Source organism: Homo sapiens, chromosome 8 (assembly GCF_000001405.40).
Source record: "Homo sapiens chromosome 8, GRCh38.p14 Primary Assembly".
Lineage (NCBI taxonomy): Eukaryota > Metazoa > Chordata > Mammalia > Primates > Hominidae > Homo > Homo sapiens.
This window is the reverse complement of record NC_000008.11, coordinates 120,123,765-120,149,068: the sequence shown is the minus strand read 5'-3', so window position 1 is coordinate 120,149,068 and position 25,304 is coordinate 120,123,765. Positions and strand designations below refer to the sequence as shown.

Genomic DNA, 25,304 nt, shown 5'->3' with positions numbered 1-25,304 from the left:
GTTAGCACATTCTTTTCAGATAAATATTTTTGGCTTTGCGGGACACATAGTTTCTGTCATGACTGTTTAATTCTGTCACTGTAGCATGAAAGTAGCCACAGACAATATGTAAACAAATGTGCATGACGTGCGCCACTAAAACTTTATTTATAAAAATAGGCAGTGGGCCAGATTTGGCCCACAGGTAGTTTTTCAGCCCCAGACTTACTTTATAAAAATGAATGGAAATCAAAAATAAAAGTTCCCATCCCAGGAATGCAAAGAGCAGATTTCACAAATTAAGTTTAATTAAAACAAAGCTAGAAATCATTAGGAATGCTTGAAATGGCATATTGGCAGGCTCTGTCAGGCCCTTATAATGTTCAGACTATGTGCTCAGTTTTTAAGAAAAGGGGCAAAATCAAGGACCAGGTATGAAATGATAGAAATATCCTGTACATTATGTAAGAGACAAGACATGATTAGGATACACACACACTCACATTACAGTTCTTTATTAATACAGCTGTAAAAATAGGGCTTTATTCATAAAGCAATTTAATTATTAGAGCATTATTAATATAACTGATATCATAACATAAAAATTTGACTTTCACTGATTAAACTTGCACAGGCTTTTCAGAAGCACTTTAAGAATAGGCCAGGCATGGTGGCTCACACCTGTAATCCCAGCACTTCGGGAGGCCGAGGTGGGCAGATCACGAGATCAGGAGTTCGAGAGCAGCCTGGCCAATATGGTGAAACCCTGTTTCTACTAAAAATACAAAAATTATCCAGGCATGGTGGCTCATGCCTGTAGTCCCAGCTACTTGGGAGGCTGAGGCAGGAAAATTGCTTGAACCTGAGAGGTAGAGGTTGCAGTGAGCCAAGATCATACCTGGGCTACAGAGCAAGACTCTGACTCAAAAAAAAAAAAAAAAAAAAGAATGACCTATTTAACCAATTGCCACAAAATCACTATGCTCAGTCACTGGTGAGGTTGTAATCCTCATCAAAGATGTGTATATTTCTACAGTGCAAACAGTTGGTAAAACTCAGTAAAAGCCGACATATTGTTAGGATAAATAAAATAAAATGATAATCAGAAACAAGAAAGCTAGAGTCCCAGACCCTACTGATTCTCAAAGTTTTCAATTACCTTGACCTTGGACAATGGTGCAGAAATAAACAATTGCCAAAAAAGGTGGAAGCAACCAGTACCGCATCTTGCGCTGGAAAATCTTCATTTTATTTTCCGCTTTTTACATGGGGTGTAGCAGCCACCTAGAAACAGAGAGAACAGGAACATTTTTGAGAAGGCTGAAAATAAAGTATATGTAATCATTTAGGACAGGCGAATAAGCCAACATGGATTAGTATTGTCAGGAAGTAATTAATTCCCTAGAGCATCGTGCATTTCACTCTAAAATACAAACTGATGAGGAAAAGACTTTTTAGAAGGTGCTGTAAATGGACAGAATGATTTGAAATATTTGGAAGAGAACTTCAGAATGTACTTTGTGACTCTTCCCTATGGACATAAATTGCATAGTGAATTTCCCAAGTGGATAAATTTCATAATTTTACCTGAAATTAGCATTATCATCAATCCCAATGTCCTTGCCAGTAATGTGTTCCTCCCATATTTGTCACATAAAGTTCACATAAACTCCTACTGTTGTCTTATATTGCCTACAAAGAACAAATATATAGGACCTTTCTACTGGTGATCCAAGAGAATTTGAAAAACCACTTTGTACTCAGACTTCCCCTCACTGGGTTGAATAACCCCTAATCCTTTCATCTTTTTCTCATAGTTCTTCTTTTTCCTAATATAAGTGAATCTAAAACTCTTCCAAATTGTTCATTTTCAATGGGATATCAATGAAAGAAGAGCTACAAGCAAAAGAAAGAAAGGACGATAAATGGAAGACAAGAAAATGAAGAAGAAAAAAGAAAGGGTATAATTATTACGTATCTATAATAATTAATAATAAAAATTTTAACATTAAAAAACTTTTAGAAAAAGAAGGGAAAGAAAGGGAAAGGAAAGAAGGAGGGAGAAAGGGAGAGAGGCAGAATTGGAGGGGAAAAAACAATGAATGTTCTGTATTAATTTAAAAGACCATTCTACAAATTGTAGATTACAATTCTATTACTAGGTCATTACAGAGGAGAAATTCTGAAATCCTTCCCTCAGAGATTAAGGAAATATCTCCAAAGTTTTCTTCTACCCAGGGCATATTTTTTAATTCATTTTTTCATTTATATATTCGTTTATTCATTTCCCAGTATTATCCCACAAAGGATCTGAAGCAACTAAATAATAAATAAACATAATGGATCAGATAACGGTGCCAAATTTCACAGGTAAAATACAGGACTATAGTTAAATTTTAATTTGAGATAAATAGCAAATGATTTTTTAATGTTAGTATGTTCTATGTAATAGTTGAAAAACACTATTTTTAAAAAAATCATTGTTTATCTGGAATTAAAATTTAACTGAGTGTCATATATTTGATCCAGCAATCCTAGTATAAGGGGAAATTTTGGTGATAAAACAATAAAGTAATGAGTTAAATGAGCACAGAGAAAATGTATCTGGTCCTGTATAGTTGGTAAAGGATAGTTAAGGTATACCTTACTATAGTAAGGTATAGTTGCTGAATTTGGCTTAAAAATTTATGAATTAGCAGCTAAGCAAGAAGGAAGCATAATAAGCTTTAAAGCTTACTATATTTTTAGATTAACTAAAACATATTTTTCAGGAGATGCATAGCTTTTTCTGATACCGAAAGCTGAGTAGAAGTTTTCCCATGGTTCACACCAAAAAGTCATCTTACTTTATTAACCATAAAATGTATTGAGCCCTTGCTGTATGTAAAGACTACTCCAAGTACACATATAAATTCCTTTAATCCTCACAGCAACTCTTTGAAGTAGGTACAATTCTAATACATAGTTACAGATGGACAATAAGGCACAGAGAAGTTGCCCAAGTCACAGAGCTAGTGAGTTCAGGAGCCAGGATTTTAACCACATAGACATGATCAGACATGGTAGAAGCATCTTAGGAAAACATTTCTACAAGATCAGCCTTCACATCACTTTCTTTCCACTTTAAAAATACCTTGTTCTGCTTACAAAAACAAAGAGTTTTAACAGTGAAAAATTCAGACTACAACAAAGTACAACAAAAACAATACATCTTTTGTTATTATTTTCTTGTTCAAGTGTATTCTGATGACAGTAAATGCCCTTTTACTATATGCGGTATCACAACTTATTTACCTACTTTTATTTGGAAATACAGATTGCTTCCAAATTTCGTTTATACATATAACACCACAATGAACATCCTAATTCACATCTCTTTTAATATATGATTTATTTACTTTGGCTAAATTCCCAATTGTAGAACTGCTAGGCAAAACAAGATGCATTGTTTGTTTGTTTGTTTGTTTGTTTTGAGACAGAGTCTCACTCTTGTCCCCAGGGCTGGAGTGCAACGGTGCGATCTGCTCACTGCAACCTTTGCCTCCTGGGTTCAAGCGATTCTCCTGCCTCAGCCTCCCAAGTAGCTGGGATTACAGGCACGTGCCACTACGCCCGGCTAATTTTTGTATTTTTAGTAGAGACGGGATTTCATCATGTTGCCCATGCTGGTCTCAAACTCCTGACCTCAGGTGATCCACCCGCCTTGGCCTCCCAAAGTGCTGGGATTACAGGCCTGAGCCACCTCACACAGCCCAAGATGCATGTTTTTAAGGTTTTTCTAATATAGGTACACAATGCTCTACAGAAAATAACACTGATTTCCACTTCCACCTGCATCTCATATGAACACCAGGTCACAACACTTCCACCATCACAGAGGTTGTTTTCAATATATTCTGATTTTACAGGTAAAATGGGATTAGCATCTTAATCAGATTTTTCATAACCAGTAAAATGTGACATTTGGTGTTTGTTGGCTATTTAAATTTTTTTAAACAAAATAACTGTTCATGACTTTTACCCATTTTCTTATTGATCTACAATAACTCTTTATATGTTAATTTTAACTCATATATACTTAGTATTTTTCCAGTTTGTTTTTTGCCTGACAATTTCATTTACTGGGTTAAGATTTTTTTTTTAAGGTCAGAAATCTGACTTGATCTTTTTCTTTATGGTTTCTAATTCAGTGTCATGGGTAAAATGGCCTTTCTTACCCCAAAGTATATTTCTAGTTAACTTTTTAGTTTCTGTTATTAATGGACTCTTTCCAACACTGTTATCTGATAGATTCGTTTTTAATATAGAAAAGATATTGATTTTATATATTAATGGACCACCATTCTGAATTCTTGCTACCTTTATATTTTTTTCAGTTTAATCTCTTGGATTTTCCAAGTTGACAACTGCATTGTTTGCAATCGACGTGTTTTTTCTTACTGTATAGGTTAGTAGTTTAAAAACAATTATTTTGCTAGGGATGCCTGAAATATTTTACCATTAAGAATATTAACGGTAGTTGAGTTCAGATATGTTATGTCAAACTTTTAAAAGTTCTTGTCTTTTTACTAAGAATTTTTTTAAATCAAGAACGGATGCTGAACCTTGCCTTTATGACAATTCATTCATTGGAATGTCCGTATTTCATCTTGACCTCTCAGTGTAGTTAACATATTTTGATATGTCTAGCATTAATCTATCTTTGAAATATAGAAATAATTCATACCTATTATGGCAATTATCGCTTTTTTTAAACATTAATGTAATTATAATGGCTTTGGCTTTCAGGCCAAGCCATTTTCAAATAGAGATAGTAATGACATATCATTCTTTAAATAAGATTCCGTTAATAATGATACTACATTTGAGCTACTGTTTTTTTATATTCTTGAACAACAAGAGAGACAGCTCAAGATTGTTTCTGTCCAACTCCTAAGAAACTAATCAAGTGCAAACACTCCTTGTTATATGCTTATCATTTATCAAAATGTGTTCAGCTTTAAATTCCTATAATTTTCTCTACTATAGATATATGTCTCCAGTGGCAACAATAAAAACACATCAATTGAAGTTACCTAATTGCAACTCAAAACTAGGTATGACTGATTACAGGACTCAAAAGAATATTAATTCTTCTTGAGGAATAAGAATGAGAATACTATTCTAGGTGTAATTTACCCCCAAATGGAAGAGTATGAGTATTTTAAAAATTATTATTACAATGATATTTTAAGTCACATTACATTTATCTAGTATCTCCATACTATTACCATTTCAAGATCTTTGATAATGGAATGTCCGGATAAAATTCCCACCATGAGAGGGATTATACCAAGCAGAGTACAAGCTATCTCTTAGCTTACAAAGCTTGGAGACTCTGACCCCCTTGAATGCTTTAAAAAATACTCCATATTGTTTATTTAAATCCCAAGTTTTTTGTGTGTTTGTTTTTGTTTTTTGAGATGGAGTCTCGCTCTGTTGCCCAGGCTGGAGTGCAGTGGTGCGATCTCGGCCCACTGCAACCTCTGCCTCCTGGGTTCAAGCAATTCTTCTGCCTCAGCCTCCCAAGTAGCTGGGATTACAGGCATGTGCACCACGCCCGGCCAATTTTTTTGTTTTGTATTATATTTTTTTTAGCAGACACAGGGTTTCACCCTGTTGGCCAGGCTGGTCCCAAACTCCTGACCTTGTGATCCGCCCACCTCGGCCTCCCAAAGTGCTGGGTTTACAGGCGTGAGCCACTGTGCCCGGCCAGTCCCAAGTATTTTTTAATTGCTGTTATGCTACTTCCCCCAGTCCTGGATGCTGTTCTTTTGAGAGATACTGCACTAGTCTGTTCTTTGAAACAACATCTATAATCTGGTAAGGCATATGCCAATCAGGCTTTAGACTGGAGCTAGGCCTGAAGATTTTCAAACAATCCTGTTTGCATCCTTTCAGTCTGGAGAGTGTGAAGGAAAAACTGTATCAAGTGGGATGTTGGGTTCTATAACTCCTACAATCATTCAATTCTGTGAATAGAATGAGTGGGGTAGATTAATATAGCTTTCAGGTAGTAGCTTTAAGTGCAAAAGCCTCTGATGAATGCAGCAAAGCATAGTTACGTAAACTTTCAAAGTAACATGACTCACGTAGTTAAATCTCTGATACTTGGGTTTTATTTCAAAATAATATGGTATATCTAAAGGAATAAATTAATTATATTTCCTTCAAGCAACCATTCATAAAAAAATTTTTGACAACTAAGCTTTTTTTAAATATCCAATCACAGTCTAGTATACAACTCTTTTATGTTGCCAATAAAAGGGAGACCCATATACTTTGATCATTATACAAATATTCAAGTTAAGGTCCTGCAATAAAAATTAAAGAATGTACTAGTTTGTGCTTAGGGTTCAAAATATATCTTCCCCTACCGGCCTACCACCAAAATGCTAATTAGTAAAGAATGTTTTCTTAGATTAACAAATTCACATACTGGAAATTCCTTAAAATTCCTAATGGAATAGGCAATACATTCAGTGTACATGCTAAAAGAATAGTCAACATATTAAGTGACTACCATCTATATAGCATTATAGCCTGGATTAATTTATCAGAACACAGAAGACATTGGGAAAATGGTTAGTAAAAGTTGATGAACTATGGGAGGAAAAGCCCCAGGGTATACATATAACCCTAACCCTACAAAGTCAAGTAAAACAAGATTAGTGGATTATCCAAACAAGTATAAGCAGCTCTTCTGTAGACAGAAGGCATGAGTGCAGGAGAATTTGAAAAGATATGGCAGCAGGCTTCAGCCCTATCAAATCAAAACATTCAGTAAATCTGCCAGTCACACAGATAGCTGTCCACCACACCCAAAGAAACATATTGCAGCAGAATCACTCAACTCCAATGAAATATTCTAAGATTTCCTTTTCCAAACATTATAACCAGAGGTTTCAATCAGAACAAAGCAAGGAAAAGAAAGGTAAAAAAAAACAGGCCACGTTTGTCTTTTTGGAGAAAAAAAAAATTTCCTTTTCAGATCAGGAGACTTACATTAGACATCCCTGGCCAAGTGTGGTAGCTCACACCTGTAATCCTAGAATTTTGGGAGGCCAAGGCAGGAAGATCGCTTGAGCCCAAGAGTTTGGGACCAGCCTGAGCAACTCAGTGAGACTCTGACTCTACAAAAAGAAATTAAAAATTAAATTAAAAAATGTTAAAAGATACCCATAATACTGTTTTAATGTAGAAGAAAAAGGTCCTCTTTAACATAGGGAAAAGGAACCTTTTTCTCCTATTGTGAAAGGCCACAATCAAATAGCCTTTCTCTATTCTCATCAAAGCAGTTCCTGCATCCAAGTGTTTTGAAGCAATACTTAACATGTAATATTGCAGGTTAATCTGCATCTCATGTACTTTTTAACTAACTAAATAAATGCTATGCTAGTCTTGGCAATTTTTTTGGAAACTGGGCATTATTTATATGGAAAAAGCATTGTAACCATAGCTTATCTTTAAAACCCTTTTTTTCTTTTCTTTTGTTTTCTTTTTTTTGAGACAGGGTCTGCTTCTGTCACCCAAGCTGGGCTGCAGTGGTGAAATTATGGCTCACAACAGCCTCAATCTGTTGGACTCAAGTGATTCTCCCACCTCAGCCTTCCAAGCAGCTGGACTATAGGCATGTGCCACCACACCTTGCTGATTTTTTAAAAATTTTTTGTAGAAATGTGGTCTCCCCATCTTGTGCAGGCTAGTCTCGAACTCCTGGGCTCAAGCAACTCCCCCTTCTCAGACTCTCAAAATACTGGGATTATAGGAATGAGCCACTGTGCCCAGCATAAATTCTTCTTTAGTTGTTGTTTATTTTAAGTTAGGATGAGCAATACCACATTGGGAGAAGTGAAATTTCAGTTTTCCCAAGCTTTTCTGCCAAGTCCCCAAACTTTTGGACAGTAAAGTAAGGGCAAGAAAAATCCCAATGCTATTAAAATGCCATGAGATAGTTTAACATTTACCAAAATGTCAAACCTAATTTGTTAAAACTTTGCCCCAAAGCCTGCACAAAACAAATAACTCTGCCTTGATTTTTTGCTCTTGTTTAAAAACGTCATGTTAGAAATGGCTACTTAGTTCTCTATTCGGAAGGTATAAGCCAAATTTATGGAAAGTTGATAATGTTTAATACAAGTGCTCTTAAAACACTGTCATAATTTTACAATCAGTAACATAAAACTAGGCCCATTAGTGCTAATTTGCCCTTCCACTCATATGTTTGTTTTATTTAATCTCATTTGTCCAGATAAGTTTAATAACGAGCAAAGGCCCAAAGTGTAAGCATTAAGCAATGCTTACAGGCATCCACAAAATTCCCAGACTAACATACAGCCAATTTTATCAAAATTCCTTAAATATTTATCCTAACGTTTTCGTAAACCACACACACTCACTCTCTCTCACGCCGAGATTTATACACATATATACACACAAACCTTGGATAATATTGTATTCAATCGTTGGTGACTTACAAAAAATAAACCATAAACTTAAATGAAATTCTTGTTAGTTATTTGGTATACCATATATCCAGCAACTCCATGCCCTGAGGGAGATTGTTATTTATAGTATTAAATGTTCATTTCAACAATCATTTATTAAGAGTCCTACTATATAACCAAAGCACTGTACTTGATAATAAGAAAGATACAAAACTTCGTACCATATCTTCCCCTTGGTAGCTCACTTAAAGTTAATTGAAAAAAAAAAAGATGAATTGAAAAGTGAACCTTAGGTGAGCTCACTTACAATTTACTTGAAAAGCAAGATTGCCAGCAATCATATTGCAAAACCGAATGAAATAAGTATGAAACAGAACAGAAAGGTAGCACAGGTGGTGGTATGAATAGAAAATTGTGAGTGAGGAAGCCACTTGTGGTGATAATTTGCTATATATAGGTCCTTGGCTAGCTGGTTTAACCACTCTCTGCTCTTTATCAATGAAATGTGTGAGATAATATCTATCTTTTATTTTTTAATTCATTAATTTATTGTTGTTGTTATTTTGATTTGGGTTTTTTTTAGGATCTCTGTCTGTCACCCAGGCTGGAGTGCAGTGGCATGAACATGGCCAACTGCATGCCTGAACTCCTAGACTCAAGAGATCCTCCTGCCTCAGCCTCCTGAGTAGCTGGGACTACAGTCCCATGCCACCTCACTTGGCTAGTTTTTTTTATTTTTTTTTATAAAGACAGGATCTCACTTTGTTGCCTAGGCTGGTCTTGAACTCCTGGGCTCCAGCAATCCTCCCACCTCCGCCTCCCAGTGCCAAGATTATAGGCATGAGCCACCGCACTTGGCTATGTCTACCTTTTAAGATGATTGTGGTATTTTAATTAATTTACTTAGAACACAGATAACTCTCAAAAATTTCTAATTGGTAGCATGATCGCAACATGTTGAAATAGCAAAAAAGGAAAGGGGAATCATAATGAATTTTCTACTTGAGCAGATGCTAAAAAAGGAAGGAGAATCAAGAAGACTTTATCTCTTCTATCACATTAAGGTTGTGGGACTAACTTGGCAAAAAAGTTTAGGCAAAAACTGAATATCCAGATAATGACAGAGGCAACAGTTATTTGCAAGAGTGAACCAGTTTAGACTTTTCAAAATACATTTCTAGCCATTTTTATCATTCTCCAGATGATAGCTCTATACAGGTTTGAAATGATCAACCATATGAAGACATGGGCGACCTGACTCGAGTAATTCATAGGCTTAAAAAAGGACTCAGCAGTTACAACTGACAAGTTCAGGCAAAGAAGACTTGAAAGAAATGGTGATATTTAAGCATATTTTATACGAAAGAAAAATAAGAATCAGAGACACATAACAGAAGTTTTCATATATTAGAAGAGTTTTATGTAGAAGATAAAACAGTATTATTTTACATAGCTTCTGAAAACAGAACTCTAATCAGTTGGGATGCTCCCAACCCACAGGAGTTCTGTAACAGCTCTAACAGTTAGAAGCATTTCTTCTCTGTCACTAGAAATTCTGGGGCAGAAGCTAGCTAAGTTTTACTCATAAGAGATGTTATCAAAGGGATTCCTGAATTTGGGGGCAAGAGAACTGGATAAAATGATCTCTAGGATGCCTTCCTCAACTCCACATTTTATATATATGTTCATATCTACTTTATAGAAAGAGAATTTTACAGTCAACTGATGATCTAGGTCACACATTTTTGTAAATTAAAAAACAAACCAAAAAAACAACAACAAAAGAAATAGGCTTAATGTATCATCCAGTGTGTTAGCTTTGAAAATATTCCTCCTCATTTCTTCTCACTATTGAAATACTACCCTCCTCACATCCAGAATCATAAAAGGATTTTCAAGATTAGCTAACGAGATCTACTTAAAAAGTACTGGAGGAAGTGAGCAATTATTACACTTATCTGTTAGCATCATGACATAGGAGGAAAAAACTCTAAATTAGGAATAAAGAAGACCTAGTTTAGTTCCTATTAGTTTGGTGGTTAGCTTTTTTCTCTCTGAAGGAACTCCCCACTATGCATGGCATGGTGATCAGAAATCAGGGGGAAAGCTGCTGTCTTACTGGCATAAAGCATCAGGGAACAGAATTCAGGAATACTAGAGAAACTAGATATTGAGAAGGGAAATGTCAGAATGGAATGAGACACAATGTGGGGGCAGGGGGAGCAAAATCTGCATAAAACTGCCCTCAAATCCTGGACATTTCAGAATGATAAAGATCACTTAATTAGGAAAAATTAATCATAAATATGTGTGAATTTAATAATGGAGTTTCAAAATACATAAAGCAAAAACTAATAGGACTAAAGAAATAAGAAATAAGCAAAGTTGAAGATTTCAGCACTCCTCAAGAACTGGTTGAACAATTAGACAATATATTGGTATATAGATATATTGATAGATATATATCGGTATATAGATATATTGATAGAGTTGTGAACAACTCTATCAAGTAGTTGATATTTATTGAGCATTACATCCAACAACTGCAAAAATGTACATTTTTTAAGTGTAACAGTAAAATTTAACAAAATAGGCCATATTCTGGGCCATAAAATAAAACTCAATAAATTTCAAAAGATTGAAAAACATACTCTGTATGTTTTCTGAAAATAGATTTAAATTAGAAATGAATAATAGGCTGGGTATGGTGACTCACACCCATAATCCCAGCATTTTGGGAGGTCAAGGTGTGTAAGATGGCTTGAGCCCAGCAGTTTGAGACAACTGGGCAACACAGAAAGACCTCATCTAATTAAAAAAAAATGAATAATAATAAAATATCTTTATAAATTCAAAATATTTGAAAATTAAACAATATGCTTCTAAATAATCAATGAGTCAAAGATGAAATCACAACGGAAATTTTTAAATGTTTGAAAGGGAATGAAAATAAAGGTACAATTTGTGAAAATTTGTGGAATGCAGCTAAAGAATTAGAGATAAACTTATAGGTTTAAATGTTGATATAAAAAAGAAGAAAGATTTAAAATCAATGCTCTAATTTTTTACCTAAAGAAGCTAGAAAAAGAAGAGCAAACTGAATCCAAATTAAGTTGAAGGAAGTGATTAATAAAGATAAAAGCAAATACTAAAGAAATAGAAAACATTAGTAGAAATTAACAAAACCAATATTTGCTTCTTTGAAATATTAATAAAATTTAAAAACCTTTAGGAAGTGTGATCAAGGAACAAAGATTGAAACACAATTAACAATACCAGGAATAACAGAGGATATAACTGCCTACTTCACAAACTAAAAAACAATTAAAAAGGAAAAATACAAATAACTTTTTGCCAATAATCCCAACAATTTAGCTTACTTGGAAATAAACTATTGAAATACTCAACTTGCTAAAACAGACACATGAAGAAATAGAAAACCCAAATAGCCCTATATCTATTAAAGAGATTAAATTTGTTATTAAAAAATATTTCCACAAGGAAAATTACAGTCCCAGATGGCTTCACTAGCAAATTCTATGAAATATTTAAGGAAAATATAATACCAATCCTACACAAACTCTTCCTGAAAGCACAGGTGAAGGCTAGCATAACCTTTTTTTTTTTTTTTTTTTTTTTTTTTTGAGACAGACTCTCACTGTCACACAGGCTGGAGTGCAGTGGCGCAATCTTGGCTCACTGCAACCTCCTACCGGGTTCAAGCAATTCTCCTGTCTCAGCCTCCCGAAGAGCTGGGACTACAGGCGCATGCCACCACACATGGCTAATTTTTGTATTTTTGGTAGAGATGGGGGTTTCACCATGTTGCCCAGGCTGGTCTCGAACACCTGGCCTCAAGTGATCTGCCCACCTCAGCTGCCCAAAGTGCTGGGATTACAGGCATGAGCCACCACACCCAGCCCTAACATAACCTTTTTATCAAAACTAGACAGCATCACAAAAAATAAAAATCACAGAATAACCCTTATGAACATAGATATAAAAATCTTTCACAAAATATTATCAAATAGCATTTAACAATGTAAAAAATAATAATAATGATGACCAAGTAGAGCTTATTACAGGAATGTAATATTGGTTTAATATTTTTAAATCATTTAGCATGTTTAGTATGTTTCTTCCCTCAGGGAGAAAAAGGCTAACCATCAAGATAATATCCACTAATCATTTAGCATGAGATTTTATATATATATATATGTAGTGTGTGTGTGTGTGCGTGTAATCTAAATAGAAGGACAAAAAGTATTTCACAAAATTCAATACACATTCAGGATTTTAAAGAAACTCAGCAAACTAAAAATAGAAAGGAACTTCTTCAATCTAATAAAGGGCATCAATGAAAACTCCATAGCTAGTATCACACTGAATGGTAAAATATTGAATGCTTTTCTCCTAAGATCAAGAATAAAATAGGGATGTTAACTATTACTAGTTCCACTCAACACTGTACTAGAGGTCCTAGCCAGTGCAATCAGGCAAGAAAAAGAAATAAAAGGCAGAAAGAATGGGAAGGAAGAAGTAAACTGACTCTATTCACAATCAACAGGGTTGTTTACCAGAAAATTCTAAGGAATCTACCAAAAACAAAACCCTACTTGAACTAATAATTTAGAAAGACTGACAGACAAGATCAGTCAGCAAAAAATCAATTGTATTCTTATATAATAGCAGAAAATAAATAAAAAGAAAAAAATTTTAAATTTATTTACAATGACATCAAAAACATAAAATAGTTAGAAATTAATATGACATGCAAGGCCTCTATACTCTTCAGAATACCAAAATATAAAAGTGTATTACTGACAGAAATGAAAGAAAGCCTAAATAGAGCAGTGCACCATGTTCATGGGTTAAAAAAAAAAAAGTACTCTGTTAGAATGTCTTTAAGATAATCTATAGATTCAAAGCAATTTTAATCAAAATCTCAAAAAAGTCATGGACAAATATTCTCTAAGACAGTTTGCTAAAAGTTAAACTGCTGGTTATAAAGTATGCTTATTCCTTTTAAAAAGTATTAATGGGTTGGGCACAGGGCTCACACCTGTAATCCAGCACTTTGGGAGGCCAAGACAGGCAGATCACCTGAGGTTGGGAGTTCGAGACCAGCCTGACCAATATGGTGACACCCCATCTCTACTAAAAATACAAAAATTAGACAGGCTGTGGTGGTGCGCTTCTGTAATCCCAGCTATTCAGGAAGCTGAGGTGGGAGAATTAGTTGAACCTGGAAGGTGGAGGTTTCAGTGAGCCAAGATTGTGCCACTGCACTCCAGCCTGGACAACAGAGGGAGACACTGTCTCAAAAAGAAAAAAAAAAGTATTAATGCATATTGCCAAATTGGTCTCCAGAGAGATTATGCCAGTTTATATACCACCAAAAGTATATGTGTCTATTTTTCCATAAACTTGCTGGCTCTGATATTTACAAATTCTTTCATGTATGAAAAAATTGTAGTTCAACATATAACATCACCATGGCTAAAAGTATGACTGCACATCTTTCATTTACTTAAGCTGTCTTTTGTTCGGTGAACTCTCTAGCATATCCTTGGTCATTTTTCTATAGGATTGTTCATCTGTTTTTTGTTTGTTTGTTTGTTTTTTGTGATGGAATCTCACTTACTCTGTCACCCAGGCTGGAGTGCAGTGGTGCAATCTTGGCTCGCTGCAATTTCCACCTCCCAGGTTCAAGCAATTCTCATGCCTCAGCCTCCCAAATAGCTGGGATTACAGGCATGCACCACCATACCCAACTGTTTTTTGTATTTTTAGTAGAGACAGGGTTTCGCCATGTTGGCCAGGCTGGTCTCGAACTCCTGACCTCAAGTGATCTGACTTCCTCGGCCTCCCAAAGTGCTGGGATTACAAGCGTGAGCCACCACACTCAGCTAGGAGTGTTCATCTTTTTATGAGAAATTTTTGTATTTAATATGTGGCTCTTTTTCCATCATATATGATAAAACACGTTGCCCAATATTTATTTTTTTTCTTTTTTATCTCCTATGGTTTATGACATGCATATAAGTCTCTTTCTCCTTTGGAATTATAGCATTTTCCTATATTTTCTTTTAGTATTCTTACATTTTCAATTTTTAAATTGAAATCTTTGATCATCTAAAACTTATTTTGATGTAAATGAAAAAGTTTTAACTTTTATTCTCCATGTCTATCCAATTAGTCCAATACCACTTATAGAATAATTTACCTTTTGATCACAGGTTAACAATGCTATATTTTATTTTCGAATCTATCGATTTTCTATTTATGTGTGACTATTAAGTAATTGTAAATATCAAAACTTTATAATATGTTTTAATATTTTCTTTTAAGTTTTCTTTCTGATTATTTTTGACTAGGTACCAAAAACTCCTCAAAATTGGGATCATGTTAAATTAGTAGACCAATTTAGGTAGATCGACCTTTTTTATACAATAGTCCATCTTTACATCAAAAAAGAATATATTCTTTGTTTATTCAAGCCAGTCATCTTCATTTCTTCATGAGCACTTTAAAGAGTTATATAAATTTGACATTTTGAGTTTATTTCTACATATTATATACATATATGTTTTATTTCCTGTTAATGGATTTTTCTTAATCACTTTTAAACAAGTTGTTTATTAATTATAGTAAAGCAATTTTATTTTTATATTAATTTTGTAACCTACCTTGAATAGTTTAACATTTTTTCAAAGTCTTAAAGTTTGTAAAATTGATTTCCTTAATTTTTTCTGTAGATGATATCTTTCTTCTTACCTTCCAAATTTTATGTTTTTCATTTCTTTCCCTTTTCTTATTACTTTGGCTACTATCTCCAGAATATTTATCCTGGAAACTTTGTCTTGTTCTTATTTTTAATAGCAATGCTTCTTTGGCATGACTTTGATTTTGAAGACACATGGCTAGACAGACTGTTAGAGAAGACAAACACAAATATACTGATATAAATGTATCATGTTTAGTAAATTTCCATCTGTGTAAACTTTATTGAGCTATTAATCTGAAATAAAATGTTAAATTATTGTAGTAGTTATGAAGAATATCCTCTAACTTTTTTCTCTTAACTTTTTAACATGACAATTATATTAATCCATTTTCTAATACTAAACTTACCTGTAAAATTTGAGCCCAACTTGATCATTGTGAATTATTCTTTTGGGTTCTATTTACTAATATGCTATTCATATCAATAAGTACATCAATATTAGTGAAATTAATCTGTAGCTTTTCTTTTTTATTATGCTGTGTCAAGTTTTGATATCAGTATTATTTTTTCCAGTTTTATAAAAAATAACAGAATTTTTTCTTCTTTCTCTATACTGTACTTTGGAACAGTTATTTTTTTTTTTTTTATTTTTTTTTTGTTTGAGACGGAGTTTCGCTCTGTCGCCCAGGCTGGAGTGCAGTGGCGCGATCTCAACTCACTGCAAGCTCCGCCTCCCGGGTTCACGCCATTCTCCTGCCTCAGCCTCCTGTGTAGCTGGGACTACAGGCACGCGCCACCATGCCTGGCTAATTTTTGTATTTTTAGTAGAGACGGGGTTTCACCGTGTTAGCCAGGATGGTCTCGATCTCCTGACCTCGTGATCCGCCCGTCTCGGCCTCCCAAAGTGCTGGGATTACAGGCGTGAGCCACCGCGCCCGGCCGGAACAGTTATAATAGCACGGTATTTTTATTTTTTTACATTTTCATTAGCATTCAATTGCAAAACCATGGGGAGAGTTCAGTACTCTTGGAGAGGTTACTTTTTAACAACTTTTTCAACATGTTTGTGTCTAATGTTTTATTCATAATTCCTGTATAATAAAAAATCAGTTTTAGTAATTTGTACTTTGTTTAAAAATAACTCATTTCATATCATTAAAATAAGAATACTGCCCAAAACACAGCCTGGGTGACAGAACAAGACTCTGTTTCAAAGAGAAAAAAAAGAACGTTACCCAAAACAATATCCAGGTTCAATGTTATTGCTATCAAACTACCTACATCATTTTTCACAGAAATAGAAAAAAAAAAAATTCTAAACAAAACCAAAAAAGAGCCTCAATAGCCAAAGCAATTCTAAGCAAAAAGAACAAAATTGAAGGCATCAAATTATCCAACTTCAAACTCTACTACAAGGCTACAGTAACCAAAAAAGCATGGTACTGGTACAAAAACAAACACACAGAAAACGGAACAGGTTAGAAAACACAGAAATAAAGTCACACACCTACAACCACCTGATCTTTAACAATGTCAACAAAAACAAGCAATGGGGAAAGGACTACCTCTTCAATAAATGGTGTTGGAATAGCTGGCTAGCTGTATGCAGAAGAATGAAATGGGACTCCTACCTTTCACCATATATGAAAATTAACTCAAAATAGATTAAAGGCTTAAATGTAAGATCTAACATTATAAAAAAATCCTAGAAGAAAACCTAGCAAATATCGGCTGGGCACAGTGGCTCATGCCTGTAATCCCAGCACTTTGGGAGGCCAAAGCGGGTGGATCATGAGGTCAGGAGATCAAGACCATCCTGGCTAACACAGTGAAACCTCATCTCTACTAAAAATATAAAAAATTATCTGGGCATGGTGGGGCATATGCCTGTAATCCCAACTACTAGAGAGGCTGGGGCAGGAGAATCGCCTGAACCCAGGAGGCAGAGGTTGCAGTGAGCCGAGATAGCGCCACTGCACTCCAGCCTTGGTGACAGAGCAAGACTCTGTCTCAAAAAAAAAAAAAAAAAAAAAAAAAAGAAAGGAAGAAAAAAGGAAGAAAACCTAGCAAATACCATTCCAGACACAGGCTTTGGCAGTGAATCTATGACTAAGTCCTCAAATCAACTGCAACAGAAACAAAAATTGACAAGTGGGATCTAATTAAACTAAAGAGCTTCTGAATAGCAAAAGAAACTATCAAGAGAGTAAATAGACAATCTACAGAATAGGAGAAAGTATTTGCAAAGTATGGACCCAACAAAGGTCTGATATCCAGAATCTATAATGAACTTAAATTATTCAACAAGCAAAAAACAAATAACCCTATTAAAAATGTAGGCAAAGGGCATGAGCGGATATTTCTCAAAAGAAGACATACAAGCAGCCAACAAACATGAAAAAATGCTCCACATTGCTAATCATCAGAAAGATGCAAATCAAAATCACATTGAGATACTATCTCACACCAATCAGAATGGCTATCATTAAAAAGTCAAAAAAAAAAAAACAGATTTGCAGAGAAAAGGAAATGCTTATACACTGTTGGTAGGAATGTAAATTGGTTCAGCCACTGTGGAAAGCAGTTTGGAGATTTCACAAAGAACTTAAAAAACTACCGTTCAACTCAGTAATCCCACTAATGGATATATACGCAAAGGAATATAAATAATTCTACCAAAAAGACACATGCACTCCTATGTTCATCACAGCACTCTTCACAATAACAAAGATGTGAAATCAACCTAGATGCTCATCAATGGTGGACTGGATAAAGAAAATGTGGTACATATACACCATGGAATACTACACAGCCATAACAAAGAACAAAATCATGTCCTTTGCGGCAACATGGATGCAGCTGGAGGCCATTATCCTAAGTGAATTAACAGAGGAACAGAAAACCAAGTACCACATATTCTCACTTATAAGTAGGAGCTAAACAGTACACATGGACATAAAGATGAGAAAACAGACAGTGGGGACTAATAGCGAGGGAAGGAAAAAAAAGGGGGTGAGGGTTGAAGAACTACCTTTTGGGTACTATGCTCACTACCTGGGTGATGGGATCATTCATACCCTAAACTTCAGCATGACACATATACCTATGTCATAAACCTGTTCTTGTATCCCCAAACTTAAAATAAAAGTTGGAAAAAAAAGAATCCATTTCATCCAGGCTTTCTAATTTATTGGCATATTTTTATTTTAATTACCATTAAATTCTTTTAATTTTCTCCAAGTTAGTGATGTTTCCATTTTACATTTCTTTCCTTGTACACGTAGGCTTTCTTTATTTTGCTTTTTAAAAGACAAAAAGCTGAATAAAATGCACAGTGATTTTTGTTTAAGAGAGAAATATCAAATGGAAGGGGAAAGCAACAGTAAAGTAGGAATAAGGGAAGGAAGAAGAAAAGGGAAAATGATGAAGAGGAAGAAGATGAGGAGGCAGAGGAAACAAAGAAAAAATAAGGGGAAAAGAGAGAAAAGAAAACAGTATAAAGGCAGAAAGGATACAAGATGACCTATCTGGCCAAATGTGGGCCAATGTTGCCTAGATTGGTGCTACTCAAAGTAGCTGGTCTATGAACTGTTACTGGTCCTCAGTGAGATAAGGAGCTTATGCCAATATGCAAGTCTATGTATTCTTTTGCTTCCTTCGTCAGAAAAGCTTTGCTATGAAAAAATAATGATAATCTCCGTTGAACTAACAGTGTGCTTGGTGAACAGTGCGCTTATTGACATATTTGATTTACATCATCGTGTAGTTTTTGTCTTATCAGAGGCAGGTAACAGTTTGTGGATGGGCACCAACCAGCAGTAGCACCAAACTTGATCCTTCACCAACCAGGCCTCTGATGAACTGCATCTGTCCCTCATCTTATTGAGGTTCTCCAGCTAGTTTCATGGCCTCAGTCACTGTTTTAACCTTCTAGATCTTGGGCACTATCAGACATCTAGATGGGCAGTTTAACCCATATTCAAGAAAGTTCAACACACATAGGCAATCAGTAAATATTGATTGATTTAATAGTTAATGACTGAATGATCAGGGCTAATGTGTGTACAGCTCGCAGTTAATGAACTAAACAATTTACACTTCGCCTAGGGTCAATGACACTTGAAATTGGCAGACACTCTGCTCCCAAGTTGTGTGCCCCAGTGCAAAGCTGTGTTATCCAGATAAAACAGAACTGTTTTCTTCTCCCATGCCATAGGTTTGCACAGAGAGGCTTCCTTTTTCTAATTTACAGAAAAACTATATTAGGTTAGCAGCATCCCTGTGAATCACTCAAACGCAAGGAATTTGACTGAAAATTAGCCTCAGTTATACAGCTGCTCAATCAGTATTAAACTCATGCTGTATGTTCTAAATGACAGAAGGTAGAGCCATTCCAAAAGTATGGCAAATTGGAATGACAGCTGCTTGACACAAGAATGTTCTTCACCTGGCTTTTTTTCCCTCTCTTCATTTTTTTCAAACACTGACATAGTTCATCTGTCAAAGAAATGGGAGACTGTTTTTAACTACAATGTACATCTGTAATCAGTATAAAGGGTAGCTTTACATCTCAGTTTAGACATCCTTTCCTTCAGGAAGTTTTCCTTGATCTTCCAAGTCTGGGGTCAGGTGCTCTTCCTGTTTCCTATAGTAGTAATCTTTATTTTCCATTCTGCAGCATTGAACACTACCCCGTAGTTAGCTATTGGCATTTCCATTTGCCAAAGCATATTATTCCCTACTGTATTTTGAATGCTTAGCACAGTGCCAGCACATGGCAGGAGACAGGGCTGGGAAGTGAAGGAAGAACAGAAGCAAACAACCTGCAGCAAATTATCATTTTTAGACATCAATTAAATGTTCTCCTCTTTGCAAAAGCCAGAGACAAAAGGCCACCCAGAAATAGATCTTTATCCAATAATGGGCCCTCTGACTGCTCCTAGATAAAGACACACCCTAAGACATTGCAATGGACTTAGCAAAGCACAACCTACCTCTGGACCAATTTTTGTAAGCAACTCAGATAATTTCTAGGAGAAATGAGGCAAAACATTGCTCTCTAAAATTCACAGAGACACCTTTCAGGGTAGCTCCGACAAAGGCCCATAGAGAGAAAAGTGCAACAAGACCACTAATAAAAAAATTACCTGGAGGAAACGGGGAGTCTAGGCTCTAAACTTTGACTTAAAGAACGCTCAGAATTTCCTATAGACTCTCTTTTATATTCTCAATGCCCGCCTCAGCCTCCCAAGTATCTAGGATTACAGGTGCCCACCACCACGCCCAGCTAATCTTTATATTTTTAGTAGAGATGGGGTTTTGCCATGTTGGCCATGCTGGCCTTGAACTCTTGACCTCAGGTGATCCTCCCAAAATGCTGGGATTACAGGCATGAGCCACTGTGCCTGGCCCCATATAGACTTTTCTTAATCATATTTCTGTCACTTGCTGTCTTTGTGATCCCATACAAGGTGCTTTTTATCCTTGAAGCTCAGTGATTGCTAAAGGAGGAATATTATTTTCTTCCCCAAGTAACTGGGAGACTTAAGTGTGTTTCTAAAAGAGAAAAAGGCAGATACCCAGTAAGTACTCAAAAAATATGCCAACATTTCCAACACACACACACACACACACACACACACACACACGCGCGCGCACACACACACACACACGTCACAGGAACAGGATGCAGTTTGGTCTACAACAAAAGCTTAGTGTATACAGAAAAGTAACTGGATCCCTGCCATTTTTTATTTACTCACAGAAGAAGTCAAGGAGAATGATTATTTTCCTAACATCCAGCACTATCGAGGGGCAAACCTGCCAAGAAGAAAGTTTATTTTTATCACTTTCCTTTAAACTTTCTCCCTCCACTCTACTGTCAGTTCCCTGGGGGGATCAACTAGTGCCCCGTTTACCAACAACTTTGTTCTCAATGGACTATCATAATCCCAGATAATTTGTTAACTCAGTGGTGCTCAAACAGCACCACTCCATCATGCAGCAGTTCTAGGAAGGCTCTTGTCCTTTAAAGGGATCTTAGGTTACACTAGACAGGCCAGGAAAACAGCAGTCATTTGGCTGGGTTTAGATAACACTGACTGCGAATGTGGCTTTACAGTGGTATCACTGCAGAGGCTGTCAACTGAAAACGAGCAAAAGACATTTGTGTTTTACTGTGTGACACTAGGAAATATTTAAGATTGAAAGGGAGACTCCCCAAGAGGTCTTCTTAATGAGCTAGGGGCTTTCCCTAGAGCCCCTCAAATCAGATCGATTTGTTCAGCCCATTTTTAAGAGCAGCCCTGGCTGATTCTGAAAAATCAAGACATGCGTGGAGGGCCCCAAGAGTTCTCTGAAATCCTCAGCTGGACGGTTCGCAGCAGGATAAGTGCCAAGAGCCTCCTCCCATCAATCTTGAAGGCTGGGATCCATCCAAAACTGCTCCAGGAATCCTGATGGGTTCCAAGGAATACTTCCCAGGGAATTACTAAGAGGCCTTACCAGTGGGGCGCCTGTCCTTTCAAAGGGACCCACAGGAGGTCAGGGCTGCAGTGGAGGTTCAGGTCTATCCTGGCTCAGGGATCCCCAGGGAGAAGGAGAGGATGGATACCCAGTATTTACTGAGAGAATAAGAAAGATAGCCTGTACATCATGGATGAACCTTGAAAATATTTTGCTAGGTAAAAGAAGCAGTCACAAAGGACCACATATTGTATTCTTCCATTTATATGAAATGTCCGAAATAGGCAAATCCATACAGACACGGCGGCAGGTTAGGGAGAAATGGGGAGGTACTGCTAATAGGTACAGGGTTTCTTTTTGGGGTGCTAAAATATTCTAAAATGGTGGATTTACTCTGCTCTGTGAAAACACTAAAAATCATTGAATTGTACACTTTAAATTGGTTAATTGAGAGGTATATGAATTATATCTCAATAAAGCTGTTTTAAAAACAAGCAAACAAAACTATTCTGAAGTTTACCTTATAATAGCGAAGCACTTGGGTTCAAAGGAATCCAAGTTACTCTTCTGAAAAACCAAATATTCACATGCTGTTCATTCATTCATTTATTCATTCACTCATTCTAAATTTACCAGTGAGTTCTCTATGTGCAGACTGGACCATGCTGTCAGAAACAGAACACCGGTCCTTCACTGCATCCAGCTTAAAGCCTGTTTGCTGGGTTTCAAGAGAGCCTCTCTATCACCTACTGCAAGTATTATAAAAAGTGCCCTCCCTGTCCCTCAGTAGAGGAGGGGCCCCAAGGCCTTTAACAGGAGTTTCAGGAAAATCCATTTTCATTTCTGCTCTCCTCTCCACAGCCACCAAAGACTTACTCCCATCTTTCTCTTGTTCCTGCCCCCACTCCCACCCCCTTCAGCTGCTGCCAACAGAGGACTCTCCAAAACTTGCAGAAGTAATGGGACTCTGAGAAGCAATGTTTGGGGGGAAATCCTGGCCCATGTGAGAGCTGCACACAAGCTTCATTTGGACACGGAACTTTCCGTAAGGACAGGTCCAAAACCCTCCTGGACCTTAGCAGAGCAACCCTGAGCCACAGAGGACCCAAGAACCCAGCACCAAGATCTGAGCACCTGTGGTCCTGGACCTGCCGGCGGCCTCCAGGCTCTGCCCTAGGACCGAGGCCACTGTAATGGCCCCATGCGCCGAAGCCCAGCTGCCCCGGATGCCTATCCGCCCAGGCGCTGTGTAATAGGAGGCCTGAGGGGGCGCGGGGTGCGGGGGGTGTCAGAGAGATAAAAGGGGGCAAGTGAGAGGTCGGCAAGCCAAAGCGGAGAGGATTCTCCAATATTACAACCTGGCGGTGCCTCTCTCAAAACCGCAACCTCCTGGCTTCTGGCACCAAAGCAAAACGCACGAAGCATCCCAGCCTCCCGGCGCAGAGAGGTGGAGGAGCGCCTACTGTCCCCATCCTCCATCATCGAGCTCTACCTAGCTGTTTCCCTTTGCGTCCAGCGCCTGGTTCTCAGCTACCCAAATCTGTAGCAGAGCCAACAGGTGACTGGGTGAGTTTCGTCCCCTATGATCTCCATCAGCAGCTCTCTCAAGCTATCCCAAACACAAGATAAATAAAAACAGCGTGTTCTTTATGCACACACAGCCCTTCAAGACGGATCCCACCCAAATTACCGCCTTTGTTAAGCCCCTTCTATATGGAAATGCTGGAGCCGCCACTGTCCCGCAGCCAAACGCAGCTTCTTCCCGCCACACGCTCACGTCACTCAAACACTGGGAAAAGCTTCCCGGAGCAGCACATGGTATTTCCACTATCCCTGCGCTCTCATCACCCAATGCCTCTAATCTCCCTACACCGTGAACCCCGCGAAAAGGCATCCAGGTGTACCCGTCCCATCCCGTCCCAAAGGTCCCCAGTCCATTCTGGGCGCGCGCGTGAAAAGAAAGTCCATGGAACTGCATTGCGTCTGCAGGTGGCTCGCTGCCTCCACTTTTCCTTGCTCATGAATGGACTTCGAAGCCGAGCCAAAGAAGAGCAGAGAAAGACGAACTGACCTGTGCTGGGCAAGGTTCCAGCCCAGGTTGGGAGCTCTCCGCGCCTAGGCAAGATCGAAGCTCCGCCGCTAGTTGGTCCTTGGCGGCGCACCGCCCTTGCTCTCTTCCCTCGGAGTATCCTTTTTTAATTAGCCTCTCTCTCTTTCTCTCTCCCTCTCCTTCTGCCGCTGCGCTTCCACTTCCAGCCCCCTGGAGCTGCCTCCGCCTCTCCAGCTGGGAGCCCAGGATCAGATAAGAGGAAAGGAAGGCCCGCCGGCAGCCAATTATAGAGCGGAGGGTGGCCGCGGAGGCGGGAGGTGGGGAGGTGGGAGGCAGGCCTAAGCCCATAACGCCCCCACTTTCTCTCCTCCTCCTCTCCCCCATCCCCGCCCTACCGGAGATGTGGAGAAGCCAGCCCCGTGCCGCTCACGCGCTCGCCTACCCCGAACCTGGCGGTCCCCCCAGGTGCGCGCGGCAGCCGGATGTGGCGCGCCGAGAGCGAGCCAGGCTCTTTCCCTTCCACTGGGGCAGAAGCTACTGCAAGCTCCCAAACCAGGCCCCCTGCTCTCTTTGGGAGGTCTCGAGCCCTCCTGTTCTCAGGTGCTGTGTGCCCACTTCCCCATTTCCAAAAGACAGACTTTGCCTTCCCGCGTCAAAGACCCTGAGCTCCGAGTGAAACAGGTATCCACTATAAAGGCCCCCTTCGAGCCTCCTCTTCTCCCTCTTCCTCTTGTGAACAAGTCCAAGGGCTCTAAAACGCCAAAGCAGCGATGCTCAAACTTTAAGGTGCAGGGGAATCAGCTGGAGGTATCGAAATGGACATTTCTGTAGGTTACAAAAAGACGAATGTAGGCAATTTCGTGTGGTTGTACCTCATAACCTGCTGATTCCCCACCCGCAGAGATTCTGGTTTAAGGAGCCTGAGGTAAGGCCAGGGACTCTGCAATATCACACCCCCTGGTGGTTCAGATCCTTGCAGGCCACTCTTTGAGAGGCTCTGCCTTGAGATGTGAAGAGCAGGAGGCCACCAGGGCCCGGCGCTGGCTCTCCGGAGACTCTGTCCCGCGCGCTCACCTGCTGGGTGGGCCCTCTAGAAGAGTCAACACCTTTACTTATTTTTGACCCATAGTCCCCATCCTGCATGCCCGATTCTTTACAAATGTTAGGCGGAAGGTGGGTGGAAACTGAGAATTCAGCAAAACCCTATTTTGTGAGAAAATACTTCCTTGCTTTGGAAAACTGAAAAGAATATTTCACCACCACCAAAGGCTGGTGATGGAGCAATGAGAGAGGAAGGCAAGTGGTACTCTTAGGTTTCCAAATTTGCCTCCATCATGCCCAGCTGAGAATCCCGATAGAAGGGCTGTGATTTGCAGGGTAGTCCCTCCGACATTCCAACTGTCCAAGCTGCGGCTAGCCACCTCCTCTGCTCTCCTCGAATGTGTTATTTGCATTGCTGCGCGTGCTCCGAGCTGCAGCAGGGGTCCTGCGGCTGGAGTGGATGAAAGGCCCCTTCCAGCCCCCACCGCCGCCCTGCGTCTCGGTCTCGCTCGGAATTGGCCTAAGTTCAGCCACAGGGCGCGGCCGCAGCAAGGCG

General features: G+C 38.3%; 1 protein-coding gene across 11 annotated transcripts in view; it reads right to left on the bottom strand.

Moving 5' to 3' along the window:
- COL14A1 (collagen type XIV alpha 1 chain) overlaps nt 1–24,615 on the bottom strand; it is a 249,120-nt gene extending 224,505 nt beyond the window's left edge. For 7 of the 11 annotated variants that reach the window (NM_001384947.1, NM_021110.4, NM_001413498.1 and 4 more), the window contains exons 1-2: nt 23,729–23,967; nt 1,139–1,263 (exon numbers count right to left, since the gene is read on the bottom strand). In NM_001384947.1, the coding sequence (NP_001371876.1) occupies nt 1,139–1,226 (88 nt within the window). In that variant the 5' untranslated portion in view covers nt 1,227–1,263; nt 23,729–23,967. Of the gene's footprint in view, nt 1–1,138; nt 1,264–7,023; nt 7,152–23,728; nt 23,968–24,579 lie in introns of those variants that run through there. The other 4 variants (NM_001413493.1, NM_001413494.1, NM_001413490.1 and 1 more) reach the window with 2 other exon arrangements.